The sequence below is a fragment of the Homo sapiens genome, chromosome 5 (genome assembly GCF_000001405.40).
Source record: "Homo sapiens chromosome 5, GRCh38.p14 Primary Assembly".
Lineage (NCBI taxonomy): Eukaryota > Metazoa > Chordata > Mammalia > Primates > Hominidae > Homo > Homo sapiens.
Genome location: NC_000005.10, coordinates 154630650 through 154652991, shown reverse-complemented (window position 1 = coordinate 154652991; position 22342 = coordinate 154630650). Strand labels below are relative to the sequence as shown.

The 22342-nt window shown below is 44.7% G+C and overlaps 2 annotated features.

The window, feature by feature from the left end:
* Window positions 5125–5787: an enhancer, noted in NCBI's record as "H3K4me1 hESC enhancer chr5:154026765-154027427 (GRCh37/hg19 assembly coordinates)". NCBI's record gives its function as "activates a minimal SCP1, AML or CMV promoter by ChIP-STARR-seq in primed H9 embryonic stem cells {active_cell/tissue: H9 hESC(primed)}" and the evidence as "EXISTENCE:reporter gene assay evidence [ECO:0000049][PMID:30033119]".
* Window positions 5354–5463: an enhancer, noted in NCBI's record as "active region_23481". NCBI's record gives its function as "activates an Ori minimal core promoter by ATAC-STARR-seq in GM12878 lymphoblastoid cells {active_cell/tissue: GM12878}" and the evidence as "EXISTENCE:reporter gene assay evidence [ECO:0000049][PMID:35858748]".

The following is a 22342-nucleotide window of genomic DNA, read 5'->3' as shown; positions in this document are numbered from 1 at the left end:
AGGGGGGTACACTCAGCTGGGATCTCTGCCGGGAAAGGACCTGAGACATTTTCTTCACTCCTCTCTCCCCCTAGAGACTGTCTTGGCCATGCAGACTCTTTTTTTTTTTTTTTTTTTTTTTTTTTCCTGAGATGGAGTAACATTTTGTTACCCAGGCTGGAGTAAAGTGGCCAGATCTCAGCTCACTGCAACCTCCACCTCCTGGGTTCAAGCGATTCTCTTGCCTCAGCCTCCCGAGTAGCTGGGATTGCAGGTGTGTGCCACCATGTCCAGCTAATTTTTGTATTTTTAGTAGAGAGGGGGTTTCAGCATGTTGCCCAGGCTGGTCTTGAACTCCTGACTTCAGGTTATCTACCCGCCTCGGCCTCCCAGAGTGCTGGGATTACAGGCATGAGCCATGGCACCCAGCCTGGCCATGCAAACTCTTTTTTTTTTTTTTTTTTTTTTTGGAGACAGAGTCTCACTCTGTTGCCCAGGCTGGAGTGCGATGGCATGATCTCGGCTCACTTGCAATCTCCACCTCCCGGGCTCAAGTGATTCTCCTGCCTCAGCCTCCTGGGTAACTGGGATTACAGGTACGTGCCACCATGCCTGGCTAATTTTCATATTTTTAGTAGAGACAGGGTTTCACCATGTTGGTCAGGCTAGTCTCAAACTCCTGACCTCGTGATCCTCCTGCCTTGGCCTCCCAAAGTGCTGGGATTATAGGCGTGAGCCACCTCACCTGGACTTTTCTTTTTGAGATGGAGTCTTGTCCTGTCACCCAGGCTGCAGTGCAATGGCACGATCTCAGCTCACTGCAACCTCTCCCTGCTGGGTTCAAGCAATTCTCCTACCTCAGCCTCCTAAGTAGCTGGAACTATAGGCACGTGCCACCATGCCCAGCTAATTTTTTGTATTTTTAGTAGAGATGGGGTTTCACCATGCTGGCCAGGCTGGTCTCGAACTCCTGACCTTGTGATCTGCCTGCCTTGGCCTCCGAGAGTTCTGGGATTACAGGTGTGAGCCACCGTGCCCGGCCCCATGCAAACTCATGACTGATCACCTGCAAGGAAGAGTGAAGCTCATTTTGTTTTAAGGTAGCTTAGTCTATTACTAAATTGTTTACTAAAACTTTTTTCATATTATTAATAAATTAGCAAAAAAAAAAAAATAATAAACATTGATAACCTCCAGGGTTGGCCAAGCCATGAGGAAACAGGCTCTGTCCGGCACCATGGGTGGGATGAAAATGGGCACAACCCACCTGTGAGTGACCAGCATCTTTACCAACCCCAGCTACACACACCCCACAACCCAGGGGTCACACGCCTGGGAGTCTACTGACAGAAACACCATCACAGTGACATCTGTTTGTGGATATTTCTGGAACATTTTTCTTTGTTTTTTGGTAAAAGCAAAAAATTAGAAGTAATTCAGATGACTAGCCACAGAGGGTTTATTACCTAGACATTTTGTGATCCACCCACACTATAGAATACTGTACAGATGCCAAAAAGAATGGATTCCTTGGAAATGTTTCTAAGATTCACTGGCAGGTGAAAGAAGAAAATTAAAGAATAAAATGGGCCAGGCGCGGTGGCTCACGCCTGTAATCCCAGCACTTCGGGAGGCCGAGGCAGGTGGATCACTTGAGGTCAGGAGTTTGAGACCAGCCTGGCCAACATGGTGAAGCCCCGTCTCTACGAAAAAATACAAAAATTAGCTGGGTGTGGTAGCTCGCCTGTAATTCCAGCTACTCGGGAGGCTGAGGCGCGAGAATCGCCGCTTGAACCTGGGAGATGGAGGTTGCAGAGATGGCGCCATTGCACTCCAGCCTGGGCAACAGAGTGAGACTCTGTCTCAAAAAAAAAAAAAAAAAAAAAAAAAAGAATAATATGTATGATCAGAATTCTAAAAACACACACAAACAAAATTACTCCCATTACTCCCCTTTTCTCTAAAAATATCTATACAGCAACTCAGGTATATTGGCATAGAAAACTTTTAGAAGTATTCATACCACACGTTTAACTTAATTCATGTCATTTTCTAGCTGTGTGGCCCTTAGGAAGTCATACCTCTCAGCCCCAGTCTCCGCCTTTGTAAACTGGTAATAGCAAATCTCACATATGGTTGTGACGAGAATATAACTAGTTCTTGTAAATCACTTGGCACATAAATACTTAGTAAAAGAACGCAGGAGGCCGGGTGTGGTGGCTCACGCCTGTAATCCCAGCACTTTGGGAGGCCGAGGCAGGCGGATCACCTGAGGTCGGAGGTTTGAGTTCAAGACCAACCTGGCCAACATGGAGGAACACTGTCTCCACTAAAACTACAAAAAAAAAAAAAAAAAAAAAAATTAGCCGGGCTTGGTGGCGCATGCCTGTAATCCCAGCTTTTCGGGAGGCTGAGGCAGGAGAATCGCTTGAACCCGGGGGGCGTTAAGTTGTGGTGAGACGAGATGGCGCCATTGCACTCCAGCCTGGGCAACAAGAGTGAAATTTCGTCTCAAAAATAAAAAGTAAAAATAAAAAATAATGCAGGAATACAATTTCATCTAAATAAGCAAATTAATTTTTAGGAATACATTTTCAGCTAAGCGCAAAGGCTGGCTCGTCTGCCTGTCTTTGCTGCCACCTAGTGGTAACAGGTAGGAAAGCGCATATTGGAAGGCTTGCTTTTTTTTCTTTATTTATGACACAATTTATTCAAGGCCTACAATGTATCCGGCACACACCACGCCTGTACCTTCTCAGTTTTCTTATCTGAAGAATGGGGGTAATAAATGAACTGACCCCATAAGTTTGTGAGGATAAAATGCAATAATGCATGTAAAGCATTTAACATTGGCTGTAACACAAAAGAATGCTCTAGAAATGGTAATTATTGGTGTTTACACATGCATAATTTAATTTAGGAAATCAGTATTATACCCATTTTTCTGTGTGAGAAATTTGAGGCTCAGAGAAATCAAAGTAACTTGCCTAAGGCTACTGAGCTAACTAGAGGAGGGTCTGAGATTAGAATCTAGGTCTGGGCAACACAGCCAGAGAAAAAGAAAAAAGAAAAAAATACAAAAAAGAAAAAAATAGCCGTGTGTGGTGGTGCACATCTGTAGTCCCAGCTACTTGGGAGGCTGAGGTGGGAGGACCGCTCGAGCCCAGGAGGTTGAGGCTGCTCTAAGCCGAGATTTTGTCACTGCACTTCAACCTAGGCGCAGAGCAAGATCTCATCTCAAAACAAACAAACAAAAAGGAATCTAGGTCTGTCCTGGGGCTGCCTCATCACCCTTAAGATACCATCTCACATGACCTCCTGAAAAGGAGTTGGTTTTTGGATTCCACAGACCAAGAGCATTTAAAAATACCCAGATGTATTGGTTATCTATTGCTGCATAATGAATTACCCTAAAACCCAGTGGGCACAGATTCACTGGCTCCTCCACTGCAGGTATCTCACAGGTGCTATTCAGGGTGTTGGCCACACAGGGTGGGGTCAGGGCACACTTGTTACATGTGAGTGCCTCCTGAAATTTTACATGCTGCGCCTTAAGGTTCCTTAAGTAGCCTTAAGGTTCAACTGGGGAACCACCTGCTTCCAGCTTACCTGGCTGTTGGCAGGACTCAGTTCCTCCAGGGCTGTTGGATTGAGGCCCTCAGTACCCCTAGCTGTTGGTCAGAGACCACCAGCTCCTTACTACATCATTGGCTGACCTTTTTTTTTTTTTTTTTTGAGACGGAGTTTTGCTCTGTTGCCCAGGCTGGAGTGCAATGGCTCGATCTCAGCTCACTGCAACCTCTGCCACCTGGGTTCAAGCGATTCTCCTGCCTCAGCCTCCCGAATAGCTGGGATTACAGGTGCCAGGCACCATGCCCGGGTAATTTTTGTATTTTCAGTAGAGATGGGGTTTCACTATGTTGGCCAGGCTGGTCTCGAACCCCTGACCTCATGATCCGCCCGCTTCGGCCTCCCAAAGTGCTGAGATTACAGGCGTGGGCCACCGCGCCCAGCCTGGCTGCTTTTTCAGTGTGGCAGTTTGTTTCATCAAAGTGTGCAAGCCAAGAAGAGCAAAAGTCAGCTGGCAAGATGGAAGTCACAGTCATTGCTAATCTAATCACAGAAGTCATTATTGCGACATTCTGTTTCTTAGAAGCAAGTCACCAGCCCCAGCCACTCTGGAGGGGAGGGGATCATACAAAGGCTTGAATATCAGGAGGAGGGGACTGCGGAAGGCCATTCTAGAGCCTTCCTGTCACACTGGAGTTGCCTGTCAACTTTTAATTTTGCTAAATAACATTTATTTACTTATCTATTTATTTTTTTTTTTTGAAACAGAGTCAAACTCCGTAACCCAGCCTTGAGTGCAGTGGTGCGATCTCATCTCGGCTCACTGCAACCTCTGTCTCCCGGGTTCAAGCAATTCTCCTGCCTCGGGTTCCCGAGTAGCTGGGGCTACAGGTGAGCACCGGCCCGCCCGCCTAATTTTTGTATTTTTTAATAGAGACGGGGTTTCACTATGTTGGCCAGTCTGGTCTCCTGGCCGCAGGTGATCCGCCCGCCTCCCAAAGTGCTAGGATTACCTGGGGCGTGAGCCACTGAGCCAGGCTGATCCACTGCACCCGGTAACCCAAGAACATTTAGAAAATCAACTCCCGGCCAGGCACAGTGGCCCAGGGCTGTAATCCCAGCACTTTGGGAGGCTGAGGCTGGGGGATTGCTTGAGCCCAGGAGTTCGAGACCAGTCTGGGCAATATAGAGAAACCTCGTCTCAATTCAAAATAAATAAATAAGAAAAAAGAAAACTCCCAGCCCTGGTTACCATCATTTCATAAAAGAAATGGACATTTTAACAACTAGATACAAACAGGAAATTTCAGAATAAAGGCTAGTCCCTTGTGGTTGAGTAAATACAGCTCTATTAGAAGCTTCCACATTGCTCTGAGATTTCTCACCGAGCAGCATTCTGGTGCCTAGACTAGCCCTGGGAACCTCCAGGGGCCTGCACACCCGCCAGGGGAAAGAGAGAGGAGGACATGGGTAGGGCCTGCCTGAGACCACACTGTGCCCAGCACTTCAAAAAAAAAAAACGGCTGGCTGAATGAATAGTAAATGTACAACCTCATGTGGAAGTGTCTCACTTATCTTCAGCTTCTAGAGGAGGAAACCGGGCCCCGTAAGGCTAAATGGCGGGTCTCAAAGTTTTAGGGATGGAAAGGGGATTAATATTTGCAGGGTGCTTTGCCAGCCACCACAGCCCCAGTGCCATTTTAGCACCCTGCAAACAAGTCCTGAGAGGGCAAGCAAGCTGCTGACGGGGACTCGAGCGGCTGTGGGAAAAGGGACCTGCGGTGGTTCAGGAAAGCAGCCTTAAGTGACCGAGCCTGGACGCGCCAGGCACAGTGTGGGAAGAGTGCCATTCAATCCTCCGCGTAACCCTGGCGGGGCCGGGCTAAGAAGCGCTTACCCAAGCGCAGGAGACAGGAGCTGAGCACAGCGTCGGGAGCTTGCGAGATCACCTGGCTGGGATGAGGTCATCTAAGGTTTAAGAGCGCGGTCGTCTGAGTCTAAAGTCCAGCTCTTTATCTCTGCCGCCGGGGATCCTGGGGCGTAGTGTAAAGGAGGCGGGTGGCTAGGGTCACGTGGCTGATCACCCCAAGAGAAGTCAACCCCAGGCGGGCGGTTACGACGCTCATGCTCCTTAGTGGTCTTCATTTCCGTAATGAGGGGCCGGAGGTGACGGTGCAGCAGGCGGGAGCCAGGGTAAACTTCACCCAGGTGGCCCCAGTGCGAAGGCAGCGAGGCCCTACAGCAAATGGCCAAGGCCGCCTCAGAGGCAAAGCTGCTCTCCCTTTCTCTTTGCTGCCCCATTCTCCCAGTTCCTCCTCAGCCCGGGCCTCCGGGAGCCTTCTGCTGGAAGAGATGTGCTTTCTTTTTTTAGTTTCTTGAGTTTTTTTAGAGACGAGGTCTCGCTCTTCTGCCGCCCAGGTTGGAGTGCAGTGGGGCGAACACGGCTCACTGCAGCCTCCAGCTCCTGGGCTCCAGCAAGCCTCCCGCCTGGGACCAAAGGAGCGCTCCACGGGGCGGGGGCCGCTGTGCGCTTTCTTACTTTGCCCTTTTCATCGCATATTCGGTTGTTCACCCGCGACTTCCTTTCCCGAGGAGCGACGGCGGCGGGGGCTTCTCTCTGCAACCACCACCGGCCCAGAGGAGAGCCCTTGACCAAGGACATCACGAGTACGAAATGACCAAATTTGTTCAGTATTGACTGTATCTAGGAGTATCCTACTCTCAAATAACCCACATGCAAAATCCTGAGGCGGAAGCTACCTTCATCCCTGTTTACAAAACAAACAAACAAAAAACAAAAAAACCCAGGAACCAAAAGATTGAGCAAGGTGTCCAAACCACACAGTTGGTATTTGGTGTCACGTTGGAAGGAGGAAAGGCCACAATTAAAAATTGTTATTCCCGCCGGGTGTGGTGGCTTACACCTGTAATCCCAGCACTTTGGCAGGCTCAGGCAGGTAGATCATCTAAGATCGGGAGTTTGAGACCAGCCTGACCAACATGGTGAAACCCCGTTTCTACTAAAAATACAAAAATTAGCTGGGTGTGGTGGCGCATGCCTGTAATCCCAGCTACTTGGGAGGCTGAGGCAGGAGAATCGCTACAACCCAGGAGGCGGAGGTTCTGGTGAACCGAGATCGTGCCATTGCACTCCAGCCTGGGAAACAAGAGCGAAACTCCATCTCAAAAAAAAAAAAAAAAAAAACCCAAAATTTGTTATTCTTGCGTTCAAGGCATTGTGCTAACACTTTTCTTTTTTTTTTGGAACGAAGTTTCGCTCTTGTTGCCCAGTCTGGAGTGCAGTGGCACGATCTCTGCTCACTGCAACCTCTGCCTCCTAGGTTCAAGTGATTCTCCTGCCTCAGCCTCCTGAGTAGCTGGGATTACAGGTGCCGGCCACCATGCCCGGCTAATTTTTGTGTATTTAGTAGAGACGGGGTTTCACCATGTTGACCAGGCTGGTCTTGAACTTCTGACCTCAGTTGATCCACCTGCCTCGGCCTCCCAAAGTGCTGGGATTACAGGCGTGAGCCACCATGCCCGGTTTGTGCTAACACTTTTCTAGGCATTATCTCATTTAATTACCAGCAGAGGGTGAGTGCTTTAACTCTTTAGAGGAAGCTTAGAGAGGTTGACAGGCCTGCCCAGGCTTATTAGCTGGAGTGTGGATGGACCCACAGCTGACCCTCCTCAGCAGAGCACTCCAGTACCTGCAAAACTGTGGGCAGATGTCTGTGATTCTGAGATCGATTGGGAGTTGGGGTCCGGCTTTTCTTTTCTTTCTTTTTTTTTTGAGTTGTAGTTTCACTCTTGTTGCCCAGGCTGGAGTGCAGTGACAGTGATCTCAGCTCACTGCAGCCTCCACCTCCCCAGCTCAAGTGATTCTCCTGCCTCAACCTCCTGAGTATCTGGGACTACAGGTGACCACCACCATGCCTGGCTAATTTTTTGTATTTTTAGTAGAGACGGGGTTTCACCATGTTGTCCAGGCTGGTCTCGAACTCCCAACCTCAGGTGATCCGCCCGCCTTGGCCTCCCAAAGTTCTAGGATTACAGGCATGAGCCACTGCGGCCTGCCTGGGGTTTGGCTTTTCAAATCTCAGTAGGTAGGTTGGTTTTTGTTTTTTTTTTTCCCTTTGGTGTGCTGTGGGTTGAGGATGTGGGCACTCGACTCAGTCAGCCTGATTTGGGATCCTGGCAGTGCCACATTCTGGCTGTGGGCCAAGGGGCAGGTCACTCAGCCTCTTTCAGACTCAGTTTCCTCATGTGCAAAATGGGAGTAGTACTGGTACCTGCCTCATAGGGCCTGTGAGAGAAATGCGTGGAGTCACTTAGCACTGAGCCTGGCTCCTAGCAAAAGCTAAAAATACGCAATTGTTGCTCTTAATTATTCTTACAGCCTATAAAACAGCTTTGTGTGCATTATTTGATTTGATTCTCACAATAGCACTGAGAGGATGTACAGGGGCAGATTTATCTCTGTTTTTTTTTTTTTTTTTTTTTTTTTTTAACACAAAGCGACCAAAGTTCAGAGAGGATGAGAGGCCTGGTCTAAGTCACAGGGCCATGACCTCAAGTTCAGGGAGGCTGGTTCCTCTCACCACTGCATTCTCTAAAATACTGTCCAAGGGAAATATAAAGGCAATCACAAATGTAATTTTAAATATTCTAATAACCACATTAGGAATCATAAAAGCAAACAAGTGAAAGTAATTTTAATAAGATATTTCATCTACTATATAAAAATATTACATTTTAACATGTAATCAATATAAAATCATTACTTTTAGGGAAAAGAAAGAGAGATCAGACTGTTGCTGTATCTATGTAGAAAAGGAAAACATAAGAGATTCTATTTTGACCTGTACCTTAAACAATTGCTTTGCTGAGATGTTGTTAATTTGTAACATTGCCCCAGCCACTTTGCCCCAACCTTGAGCTCACAAAAACATGTGTTGTATGGAATCAAGGTTTAAGGGATCTAGGGCTGTGCAGGATGTGCCTTGTTAACAAAATGTTTACAGGCACTATGCTTGGTAAAAGTCATCGCCATTCTCTAGTCTCAATAAACCAGGGGCACAATGCACTGTGAAAAGCCACAGGGACCTCTGTCCTGAAAAGCTGGGTATGGTCCAACGTTTCTCCCCATGTGATAGTCTGAAATATGGCCTCGTGGGATGAGAAAGACCTGACCGTCCCCCAGCCCGACACCTGTAAAAAGTCTGTGCTGAGGTGGATTAGTAAAAGAGGAAAGCCTCTTGCACTTGAGATAGAGGAAGGCCACTGTCTCCTGCCTGCCCCTGGGAACCGAATGTCTCGGTATAAAACCTGATTGTACATTTGTTCAATTCTGAGATGGGAGAAAAACCACCCTATGGTGGGAGACGAGACATGTTGGCAGCAATGCTGCCTTGTTATTCTTTACTCCACTGAGATGTTTGGGCAGAGAGAAACATAAATCTGGCCTATGTGCACATCCAGGCATAGTACCTCTCCTTGAACTTAATTATGACATAGATTCTTTTGCTCACATGTTTTTTTGCTGACCTTCTCCTTATTATCACCCTGCTCTCCTACCACATTCCTTTGGCTAAAATAATGAAAATAATAATCAATAAAAACTGAGGGAACTCAAAGACCAGTGCTGGTGCAGGCCCTCCGTATGCTGAGTGTCGGTCTCCTGGGCCCACTGTTGTTTCTCTATACTTTGCCTCTGTGTCTTATTTCTTTTCTCAGTCTCTTGTCCCACCTGGTGAGATATACCCACAGGTGTGGAGGGGCGGGCCACCCCTTCATCTGGCGCCCAATCTGGGGCCTTTCTCTAGGGTGAAGGTATGCTAAGAACGTGAACATTGAGAACAGCTGATGAGAGATTCCCAAGTATGTCCACGGTCAACCTTGCGGTAAGCTTGTGTGCTCGGAGGAATCCAGGGTAACAATGGGGCAAGCTGAAAGTAAATATGCCTCTTATCTCAGCTTCATTAAAATTATCTTAAGAAGAGGGGGAGTTAAAGCTTCTACAGAAAATCTAATTATGCTATTTCAAACAATAGAACAATTCTGCCCATGGTTTCCAGAACAGGGAACTTTATATTTAAAAGATTGGGAAAAAATTGGCAAAGAATTAAAACAAGCAAGTAGGGAAGGTAAAATCATCCCACTTACAGTATGGAATGACTGGGCCATTATTAAAGCAACTTTAGAACCGTTTCAAATAGAAGAAGATAGTGTTTCAGTTTCTGATGCCCCTGAGAGCTGTGTAATAGATTGTGAAGAAGAGGCAGGAACAGAGTTCAAGAAAGGAATGGAAAGTTCACATTGTAAAAATGTAGCAGAGTCTGTAATGGCTCGGTCAATGCAAAATTGTTGACTATAATCAATTACAGGAGGTAATATATCCTGAATCATCAAAATTGGCAGAAGGAGGTCCAGAATTATTTGGGTCATCAGAGTTTAAACCACGACGGCCATCAACTCCTCCTCCTGCGGTTCAGATGCCTGTGACATTACAACCTCAAATGCAGGTTAGACAAGTACAAACTGCAAGAGAATATCAAGTAGAAAAGGATAGAGTCTCTATCCCGGCAATGCCAATCCAGACACAGTATCCACAATATCAGCTGGTAGAAAATAAAACCCAACCACTGGTAGTTTATCAATACTGGCCGCCAGTCAAATTTCAGTATCAGCTGCTTCCAGAGGTTCAGTATAGATCTCAGGCGGGGTGTCCTGTCCCAAATAGCAGGGCACTATATCAGCAACCCACAGCGATGGCGTTTGATCCTACAGCACCAGCTAGTGTACAAGATAGTACACTGCATAAAACCATTAGCCAGAAAACAGGGAGATCTTGAGGCATGGCAGTACCCGGTAATTTTACAACCGATACTGGCTGGGAAAGGGAGTCAAGCAGGAGCCTCTGTCCAAACTGAGATTAGATATGAATCTTTCACCCTGAAAATGTTAAAAGATATGAAGGAAGGAGTTAAACAATATGGACCCAACTCTCCTTATATGAGAACATTATTAGATTCCATTGCTCATGGAAATAGACTTATTCCTTATGATTGGGAAATTTTGGCTAAGTCTTCCCTTTCACCCTCTCAGTTTCTACAGTTTAAAACCTGGTGGATTGATGGAGTACAAGAACAGGTAAGGAAAAATCAGGCTACTTATCCTGCTGTTAATATAGATGCAGACCAATTGCTAGGAACAGGTCCAAATTGGAGCACTATTAACCAACAATCAGTAATGCAGAATGAGGCTATTGAACAACTAAGGACTATTTGCCTCAGGGCTTGGGAAAAAAATTCAGGACCCAGGAACCTCCTGCCATTCTTTTAGTTCAATCAGACAAGGCTCTAAGAGCCATATCCAGACTTCGTGGCAAGGTTGCAAGATGCCGCTCAAAAATCTATTGCAGATGATAACGCCTGAAAAGTTGTTGTAGAAATAATGGCTTATCAAAATACAAATCCAGAATGTCAATCAGCCATAAAGCCATTAAGAGAAAATGTTCCAGCAGGAGTTGATGTAATTACAGAATATGTGAAGGCTTGTGATGGGATTGGAGGAGCTATGCATAAGGCAATGCTATTGGCTCAAGCAATTACGGGGGTTGCTTTAGGAGGACAAGTTAGAACATTTGGGGGGAAATGTTATAATTGTGGTCAAATTGGTCATCTAAAAAAGAATTGCCCAGTCTTAAATAAACAGAGTAAAAATAAAGAGCCACCTGGCCTGTGTCCATAATGTGAAAGAGGAAAACACTGGGCTAAGGAATGTCATTCTAAATTTGATAAAAATGGGCAACCATTATCGGGAAATGGGAAGAGGGGCCAGCCTCAGGCCCCGCGACAAAGTGGGGCGTTCCCGATTCAGCCATTTGTTCCTCAGGGTTTTCAGGGACAACAACCCCCACAGCAAATACCACCATTTCAGGGAATCAGCCAATTACAACAATACAACAGTTCTCCCCCACCACAGCGGGCAGCACAGCAGCAGATTTATGTTCTACTCAAAGGGTTTCTTTACTCCCTGGATAGCCCCCGCAAAAGATTCCTACAGGGGTATATGGTACACTGCCAGAAGGGATGGTAGGCCTTATTTTAGGAAGATCAAGTCTAAATTTGAAGGGAGTCCAAATTCATACTGGGGTAATTGATTCAGATTATAAAGGGGTAATTCAGTTAGTGATTAACTCCACTGTTCCCTGGAGTGCCAATCCAGGTGATAGAATTGCTCAATTATTGCTTTGCCTTATATTAAAATTGGGGATAGCAAAACAGAAAGAACAAGAGGGTTTGGAAGTACCAACCCTGCTGGAAAATCTGTTTATTGGAGTAGTCAGTTCTCAGAGAATAGATCTGTGTGTACAGTCACTATTCAGGGAAAGCAGTTTGAAAGATTAGTGGATACTGGGGCTGATGTTTCTATCATTACCTTAAATCAGTGGCCAAAAAATTGGCCTAAACAAAAGTCTGTTACAGGACTTGTTGGTGTGGGCGCCACCTCAGAAGTGTATCAAAGTGCCATGATTTTACATTGTCTAGGACCTAATAATCAAGAGAGTACAGTTCAGCCTATGATTACTTCTATTCCAATTAATTTATGGGGCCGAGACTTGTTACAAGAGTGGCATGCAGAGATTACTATTCCAGTCTCCCTATACAGCCCCACAAGTCAAAAAATCATGACTAAAATGGGATATCTCCCTGGCAAAGGACTAGGAAAGAATGGAGAAGGCATTAAAGTCCCAATTAAGGCTAAGGAAAATCCAGAAAGAAAAGGAATAGAGTATCCTTTTTAGGAGTGGCCACTGTAGAGCCTCCAAAACCCATTCCATTAACTTGGAAAACAGAAAAGCCTGTATGGGTAAATCAGTGGCCACTACCAAAACAAAAGCTGGAGGCTTTACACTTATTGACAAAGGAACAATTAGAAAAGGGACATAATGAGCCTTCATTTTCGCCTTGGAATTCTCCTGTGTTTGTAATTCAGAAAAAATCAGGCAGATGGCGCATGCTAACTGACTTAAGAGCTGTTAATGCAGTAATTCAACCCATGGGGCCTCTCCAACCCGGGCTGCCCTCTCTAGCCATGATTCCCAAAGATTGGCCTTTAATTATAATTGATCTAAAGGATTGCCTTTTTTACCATTCCTCTGGCAAAACAGGATTTTGAAAAATTTGCTTTTACTATACCAGCCATAAATAGTAAAGAACAAGCCACCAGGTTTCAGTGGAAAGTGTTGCCTCAGGGAATGCTTAATAGTCCAACTATTTGTCAGACTTTTGTAGCTCAGGTTCTTCAACCAGTTAGAAACAAGTTTTCAGACTGTTATATCATTCATTATGTTGATGATATTTTGTGTGCTACACAAATGAGACAAATTAATTGACTGTTACACATATGTAGTACAGGCTACAAAGGATGTTGAGACAGCCCTAATCAAATATAGTATGGATGATCAGTTAAATCAGCTGTTTAATTTGTTACAACAAACTGTAAGAAAAAGAAATTTCCCATTTTATATTACTCATATTCAAGCACACACTAATTTACCAGGGCCTTTAACTAAAGCAAATGAACAAGCTGACTTGCTACTATCATCTGCGTTTATGGAAGCACAAGAACTTCATGCCCTGACTCATGTAAATGCAACAGGATTAAAAAATAAATTTGATATCACATGGAAACAGTCAGTGTCGAGTCCTACACCTACCCACTCAGGAGGCGGGAATTAATCCCAGAGATTTATGTCCTAATGCATTATGGCAAATGGATGTCACACATGTACCTTCACTTGGAAAATTGTCATTTGTCCATGTGACAGTTGATACTTATTCACATTTCATATGGGCAACCTGCCAGACAGGAGAAAGTACTCCTCATGTTAAAAGACATTTACTATCTTGTTTTGCTGCCATGGGAGTTCCAGAAAAAAATTAAAACAGATAACGGGCCAGGATACTGTAGTAAAGCATTTCAAAAATTCTTAAATAAGTGGAAAATTACACATACAACAGGAATCCCTTATAATTCCCAAGGACAGGCCATAATAGAAAGAACTAATAGAACACTTAAAGCTCAATTGGTTAAACAAAAAAAAAAAAAAAAAAAAAGAAAGTAAGGAGCATAACACTCCCCAGATGCAACTTAATCTAGCACTCTTTAAATTTTTTAGACATTTATAAAAATAAGACCACTACTTCTGCAGAGCAACATTTTACTGGTAAAAAAAACAGCCCATATGAGGGAAAACTGATTTGGTGGAAAGACATTAAAAATAAGACATGGGAAATAGGTAAGGTGATAACATGGGGGACAGGTTTTGCTTGTGTTTCACAAGGAGAAAATCAGCTTCCTGTTTGGATACCCACTAAACATTTAAAGTTCTACAATGAACCCATCTGAGATGCAAAGAAAAGTGCCTCCACAGAGACAGAAAACCTGCAATCGAGCATCATTGACTCGCCAGGTGAACAAAATGGTGATATCGGAAGAACAGATGAAGTTGCCATCCACCAAGAAAGCGGAGCAGCCGACCTGGGCCCAACAAAAGAAGCTGACACAGTTAACTGAAAAAAGCCTGAAAAACACAAGGGTAACAAAAACTCCAGAGAATATGCTGCTTCCAGCTTTAATGATTGTATCAACAGTGGTAAGTCTCCCTATGTCTGCAGGAGCAGCTGCAGCTAATTATACTTACTGGGCCTATGTGCCTTTCCCACCCTTAATTCCGGCAGTCACTTGGATAGATAATCCTATTGAAGTATATGTTAATAATAGTGCATGAGTACCAGGCCCCACAGATGACCATGGCCCTGTCCAACCTAAAGAAGAAGAAATGATGATAAACATTTCCATTGGGTATCATTATCCTCCTATTTGCCTGGGGAAAGCACCAGGATGCTTAAGGCCTACAACCCAAAAATTGGTTGGTAGAAGTACCTACTGTCAGTGCCACCAGTAAATTTACTTATTACATGGTAAGTGGAATGTCGCTCGGGTCACAAATGAATAATTTACAGGACTCTTCTTATCAAAGATCATTAAAATTTAAGCCTAAAGAAAAAACTTGCCCCAAGGAAATTCCCAAAGAATCAAAAGACCCAAAAGTCTTAGTTTGGGAAGAATGTGTGGCTGATACTGCGGTGGTATTACAAAACAATAAATTTGGAACTATTATAGACTGGGCCCCTTGAGGACAATTATAGTATGATTGTATGGGCTAGACTCACTCATATTCACAGGCTCCATCTGTCTGGCCCACTAATCCGGCCTATGATAGTGATTTGACTGAAAGGCTAGACCAGGTTTATATAAGGTTAGAATCACCCTATCCATGGAAATGGGGTGAAAAGGGAATTTCATCACCCCAACCAAAGTTAGTTAGTCTTGTTACTGGTCCTGAACACTCAAAATTATGGAAGCTCACTGTGGCCTCGCACCGCATTAGAATTTGGTCTGGAAATCAAGTTATGGAAACAAGAAATTGTAAGCCATATTATACTATCGACCTAAATTCCAATCTGACAATTCCTTTGCAAAGTTGTGTAAAACCCCCTTATATGCTAGTTGTGGGAAACATAGTTATTAAACCAGATTCCAAAACTATAACCTGTGAAAATTGTAGATTGTTTACTTGTATTGATTCAACTTTTGATTGGCAGCACCATATTCTGCTAGTGAGGGCAAAAGAGGGTGTGTGGATCCCTGTGTCCACGGACCGACCATGGGAGGCTTCCCCATCTGTCCATATTTTAATAGAAGTATTAAAAGGAGTTCTAACTAGATCCAAAAGATTCATTTTTACTTCAATTGCAGTGATTATGGATCTTATTGCAATCACAGCTACTGCTGTGGCTGCTGGAATTGCTTTACACTGCTCTGTTCAAGCTGCAAAATATGTAAATAATTGGCAAAAGAATTCCTCAAAATTGTGAAATTCTCAGACTCAAATAGATCAAAAATTGGCAAGCCAAATTAATGATCTTAGACAACTGTCATTTGGATGGGAGATAGGCTCATGAGCCTGAAATATCTTTTTCAGTTACAGTGTGACTGGAATACATCAGATTTTTGTATTACACCTCGAGCCTATAATAAATCTGAACATCACTGGGACACGGTTAGATGCCATTTACAAAAAAGAGAAGATAATCTTACTTTAAATATTTCAAAATTAAAAGAACAAATTTTTGAGGCATCAAAAGCCCAGTTAAATCTGGTGCCAGAAACTGAGGCAATGGTAAAAGCTGTTGATAGCCTCACAAATCTTAACCCTGTCACTTGGGTTAAAACCACTGAAAATTCCACTATTGCAAATTTTGTATTAATCCTTGTATGTCTGTTCTCTCTGTTGTTAGTCTACAGGTGTATCCAGCAGCTTCGGAGACACAGCGACCGGCGAGAACGGGACATGATGATGATGGCGGTTTTGTCAAAAAGAAAAGGGGGATATGTAGGGAAAAGAAAGTGAGATCAGACTGTTACTGTATCTATGTAGAAAGGGAAGACGTAAGAGATTCCATTTTGACCTACACCTTAAACAATTGCTTTGCTGAGATGTTGTTAATTTGTAACATTGCCCCAGCCACTTTGCCCCAGCCATTTTGCCCCAACCTTGAGCTCACAAAAACATGTCTTGCATGAAATCAAGGTTTAAGGGATCTAGGGCTGTGCAGGATGTGCCTTGTTAACAAAATGTTTACAGGCAGTATGCTTGGTAAAAGTCATCGCCATTCTCTAGTCTCAATAAACCAGGGGCACAATGCACTGTGAAAAGCCACAGGGACCTCTGCCCTGAAAAGCTGGGTATGGTCCAATGTTTCTCCCCATGTGATAGTCTGAAATATAGCCTCGTGGGATGAGAAAGACCTGACCGTCCCCCAGCCCGACACCCGTAAAAGGTCTGTGCTGAGGTGGATTAGTAAAAGAGGAAAGCCTCTTGCACTTGAGATGGACGAAGGCCACTGTCTCCTGCCTGCCCCTGCGAACCGAATGTCTCGGTATAAAACCCGATTGTACATTTGTTCAATTCTGAGATGGGAGAAAAACCACCCTATGGCGGGAGGCGAGACATGTTGGCAGCAATGCTGCCTTGTTATTCTTTACTCCACTGAGATGTTTGGGCAGAGAGAAACATAAATCTGGCCTACGTGCACATCCAGGCATAGTACCTCCCCTTAAATTTAATTATGACATAGATTCTTTTGCTCACATGTTTTTTTTGCTGACGTTCTCCTTATTATCACCCTGCTCTCCTACCGCATTCCTTTGACTAAAATAATAAAAATAATAATCAATAAAAACTGAGGGAACTCAGAGACCGGTGCCGGTGCAGGTCCCCCGTATGCTGAGTGCCGGTTTCCTGGGCCCACTGTTGTTTCTCTATACTTTGCCTCTGTGTCTTATTTCTTTTCTCAGTCTCTTGTCCCACCTGGTGCGATATACCCGCATGTGTGGAGGGGCAGGCCACCCCTTCAATTACTGAGCTATTTTACCTCCTTTTTTTGGAACCAAATCTTTGAAATCTGGTTTGTATTTTGTACTTACAACACACCTCAATTGGACACTAAATTTTCACTAGAAACACTTGATCAGTATTTATATGATAAAAGTTACATTTGAAAAATAGCTTACATACCCTAGTTGTTCCAAGCATACTTAAAAGTTTTCCAATAACTGAATCAAATATAAGTTTGTAAATTTAAATTTAAATTAAATAAAGTTTAACATTCAGTTCCTTGGTTGTACTGCCACATTTCAAATGCTCAATAGCCACATGTGGCTATGATATTGGACAGCACACACGTAGAATATTTCTATTATTGCAGAAGTTTCTATTTGTTTTAGCATACTCCCTCATTTCCATCATTCCCTGTGTAAATTAGTATCAAGAGAGAATTATTGGATAAAAAAAGGAAGGTGGTTTTCAGAATACTGAAAGTTGATTTTAAAGAGTAAGATAAAAGTGAGAATAGTGTATTTACAATCATATTTCATAACTTATAAGGATACCCATGCATGTCAGGAAAAAACAGGATTCTCACTATTATTGCTTCTACCCAACATTATATTGGAGGTCTTAGCTAATGTAATAAAACAAGAAAAAGAAAAAAAGTGTAAATCTTTGAAAGGAAGATAGAAAACTCTATTTGTCAATGATAGGATCAGAGGTCTTAAAAACAGAAGAGAATTAATGACACAAACCTTTAAAACCAATTAGAGATTTCAGCAAGAGCTAAGCTATGAGCTCAACATGGAAAAAACCAATAGCTTTGTTGAAATCCAGCAATAATAATTAATCATAGCCCAGGTACAGTGGTTCATGCCTATAATCCCAACATTTTGGGAAGCCAAGGCAAGAGGATCACTTGAGGCCAGGAGTTTGAGACCAGCCTTGGCAACATAGCAAGACCTTGTCTCTAATTAAAAAAAAAAAAAATCAATCATAAACATATAGTAGGGGGAAAAAATATTGGCAAAAGCAAAGCAAAACCAAACATACAACATCTAGAAATACTCCAACCAAAAAACATCTTTCTGAAGGCATTTATGAAACTTTACTGAAAAAGTTAATTAAAGATCTGAATAGGCCAGGTATGGTGGCTCACATCTGTAATCCCAGCACTTTGGGAGGCCGAGGCAGGCAGATCACCTGACGTTGGGAGTTTGAGACCAGCCTGACCAACATGGAGAAACCCCGTCTCTGCTAAAAATACAAAAAAATTACGTGGTGTGGTGGTGCATGCCTGTAATCCCAGCTACTCCGGAGGCTGAGGCAGGAGAATTACTTGAATCTGGGAGGCAGAGGTTGCGGCGAGCCGAGATCGAGCCATTACACTCTAGCCTGGGCAACAAGAGTGAAACTCCATCTCAAAAAAGAAAAAAAAAAAAGATCTGAGGCTGGGTGTGGTAGCTCACACCTATAATCCCAGCACTTTGGGAGGCCGAGGCAGGCAGATCAAGAGGTTAGGAGTTCGAGACCAGCCTGACCAACATGGGGAAACTCCATCTCTACTAAATACAAAAAAAAAAAAAAAAAAATAGCCGGGCATGGTGGCACACGCCTATAATCCCAGCTACTTAGGAGGCTGAGGCAGGCGAATGATTTGAACCCATAGGCAGAGGCTGCAGTGAGCCAAGGTTGCACCACTGCACTCCAACCTGGGCGACAGAGCGAGACTGTCTCAAAAAAAAAAAAAAGATCCTAATCATGGCAAGATATATCATGATCATGAGCAAAAGATGTCAGTTCTTGGCTGGGCGTGGTGGCTTACGCCTATAATCCCAACACTTTGGGAAGCTGAGGTGGATGGATCACCTCAGGTCAGGAGTTTGAAACCAGAGCAGCCAACATGGTGAAACTCTACCTCTAATAAAAATAAAAAAATTAGCCAGGTGTGGTGGCACACACCTGTAATCCCAGCTACTCAGGAGGCTGAGGCAGGAGAATCACTTGAGCCTGGGAGGCGGAGGTTGCAGTGAGCTGAGATTGCGTCATTGCACTCCAGCCTGGGCGACAAGATGCAAACTCCGTCTCAAAAAGAAAAAAAAAAGATGTCAGTTCTCCTCAGTTTAATCTGTAAGTACAAAGCAATCCAATCAAACATCACCAAAATCTTTTGCAAAATTTAATACACTTATTCTAGAGTCACATGGGAGAGCAAAGGATAGGAAATTTATGAAACTAGAAGACCTAGGAGGAGCACTTCTATCAAATAACAAGACTTAGTATAAAGGCTTATTTTATATAATTAAGAGAATATTGTGTCAGAAATACATATTAGGAAAGAGCAAGGCGGGCCAGGTGTGGTGGCTCATGCCTGTAATCCCAGCACTTTGGGAGGCGAGGTAGGAGGATCACTTGAGGCCAGGAGATCCAGACCAGCCTGGCCAACATAGTGAAGCCCCGTCTCTACTAAAAATACATCAATTAGCTGGGCATGGTGGTTCACACCTGCAATCTCAGCTACTTGGGTAGCTGAGGCATGAGAATCACTTAACTTGAACCTGGGAGATGGAGGTTGCAGTGAGCCGAGGTCACGCCACTGTGCATCAGCCTGGGAGACAGATCAAGACCCCGTCTCAAAACAAACAAACAAACAAAAAACAAGAAACAAAAAACAAACAAACAAAAAGAAGGCATAAAGAAAACCTATGTTTCTATTTCACCACTTAGGTTATAGAAGAAACACAAACTAAAATGAGATAGCTGGCCGGGCGTGGTGGCTCACGCCTGTAATTCCAGCACTCTGAGAGGCCAAGGCAGGCAGATCACCTGAGGTTGGCAGTTCAAGACCAGCCCGACCAACATGGTGAAACCCTGTCTCTACTAAAAATACAAAATTAGCCGGGTATGGTGGCACATGCCTGTAATCCCAGCTACTTGGGAGGCTGAGGCAGGAGAATCACTTGAACCTGGGATGTGGAGGTTGCGGTGAGCTGAGATCATGCCGTTGCTCTCCAGCCTGGGCAATAAAAGGGAAACTCCATCTCAAAAAAAAAAAAAAAGATAACTTTTTATACCTAGCAGACTGGCAGAAATTAAAAACGACCATTCTGGCTGGACATGGTAGACCACACATGTAATCCTAGCACTTTGGGAGGCCAAGGTAGGAGGACTGTTTGAGCTCAGGAGTGAGACCAGCTTGGGCAACATAGTGAGACCCCATCTCTATTCTTAAAAAAAAAAAAAAAAGAAGAAGAAAAATGACAATTCCAAGTGTTTGTGAGTGAGTGGAAAAATAGATGCTCCATACATTGCTTGGAGGGAGGTGTAGGGAGTGGGAATGAGTAAAACTTGCCTGGGCAGCAATTTAGCAATATGTATCAAAATTTAATGTGCTATGGCACCTGGAGGTTGTCACCTCTTCAACCTAAAGGTTGCCCTTTGAGAACTTATCCTTGTGTAATGAAAGATGCTCATTACAATATTGTTTATAAGAAAATATTGGAAGCTGCTTAAACATCCATCAATAAAAGATTGGTTAGCCAGGTGTGGTGGCTCATGCCTGTAATCCCAGCACTTTGGGAGGCTAGGAGGGAAAGAGGGAGGGAGAAGGGAAAGAAGGAAGGAGGGAGGGAGGAGGGAAGGAAGAAGGAGGGAGGGAGGGAGGAGAAAGAAGGAAGGAAGGAAGAAAGGAAGGAAGGAGGGAAGGGAGGGAGGGAGGAAGGATGGAGGGAAGGGAGGGAGGGAGGAAGGATGGAGGGAGGGAGAGAAGAGAGGGAAGGAAGAAAGGAAGGAAGGGAGGGAGGGAAGGAGAAAAAGAAAGACAAGTAATAAAGCAAGGTTTAAGAAAGGGAGGGAGGAAGAGCGGGAGGGAGGGAGGGAAAAGGAAAATAAAGGTATCTTAACTTCCTCCTTTAAAATGTTTTAAAGCTCCCTCGATGTCCACTAGGAGGAGACAAAGAAACGAGACTAGAAGAGTCAAAATGCGCTTTATTCTTTATTGCTGGGTGGCTCATCAATGACGCCATGGCCTTCCTGAAGTCCCATCACCTTCTCCTCCTCCTCCCGCCACGTCAGCATTTTTTTTTTTTATTTTTTTGAGACGGAGTCTCTCTCTGTCACCCAGACTGGAGTGCAGTGGCATGATCTCAGCTCACTGCAACCTCCGCCTCCCGGGTTCAAGCGATTCTCCTGCCTCAGCCTCCGGAGTAGCTGGGATCACAGGCACCCACCACCACACCCGGCTGATTTTGTATTTTTAAAGTAGAAATAGGGTTTCACCATGTTGGCCAGGCTGGTCTCGAACTCCCAACCTCAGGTTATCCACCCTACTCGGCCTCCCAAAGTTCTGGGATTATAGGCGTGAGCAACCGCGCCTGGCCCACGCCAGCTTTTAACACGCGCGTCTGTTTCGCAAGGGGCCGCGAGCCTTCCAGGGGCGCTCTCCTGCAATGCCCAGACTCCAGGCGCCGGGAACGGCCGCAGGACCTTGGCAGCTGCGTGGTCCAAGGCGGCTCGTGGTGGTGCTAGGGCTCCTACAGGTGCCCAACCTCCAGGAGCGCGACCTCTGTCTCCGCGGCACTTGGTTCCTGCCTCGGTGTCCACCGCCCCAACCTGATGGGAGCTGTCAGCGCCCAGCTCACGCCTGCCTGCGCAGGTGGCGCCAGCCGGAGGCAGCTATGAGGTCGCTGGTGGTCTTGATGTCTCAAACACACCGGCTGGGAGAAATCCCCCCACTCTCCCGGGTTCCCCAAAGTGGATCTGCTGGGACAGGGGAGATACTGACTTCCACCCACCAAGCATGGCTGAGCACTCCATAGGTGAAGTCTGTGAAGTCCGGTCAAGACAACAAGTTTGTCAGTCAACACGCATTTAACCTCTACATGTCTCACCTGTCCAGCCCCAAGTGAGTTCTGTGCGTGTCTGTTGGGCAAAGGGGAATACAAAGCAAGCTCAGACTCCACCTCGGTCCTCTAGTGGCTTCTGGTCCTTGACAGTTATTTTGTTGTTGCTTGTTTTTTTTTTTTGAGACAGGGTCTTGGTCTGTTATCCAGGTTGGAATGCAGTGGCATGATTACAGGTCACCGCAGCTAATTTAAAAAAAAATTTTTTTTTTTTTTTGTAGAGATGGTGTCTCCCTATGTTCACCAGGCTGGTCTTGAACTCCTGGGCTCCTTTGATCCTCCTGCCTCAGTCTCCCAAATTGCTGGGATGATGGGTGTGAGCCACTGTGCCTGTCCTCTCAACAGCTTTTTATATTATGACCATTTGTCCCCTGCACTCTGACCACCCTCCATGCTAGAACATCTGCTCTTCTCAGAAATGGAGCTGGTA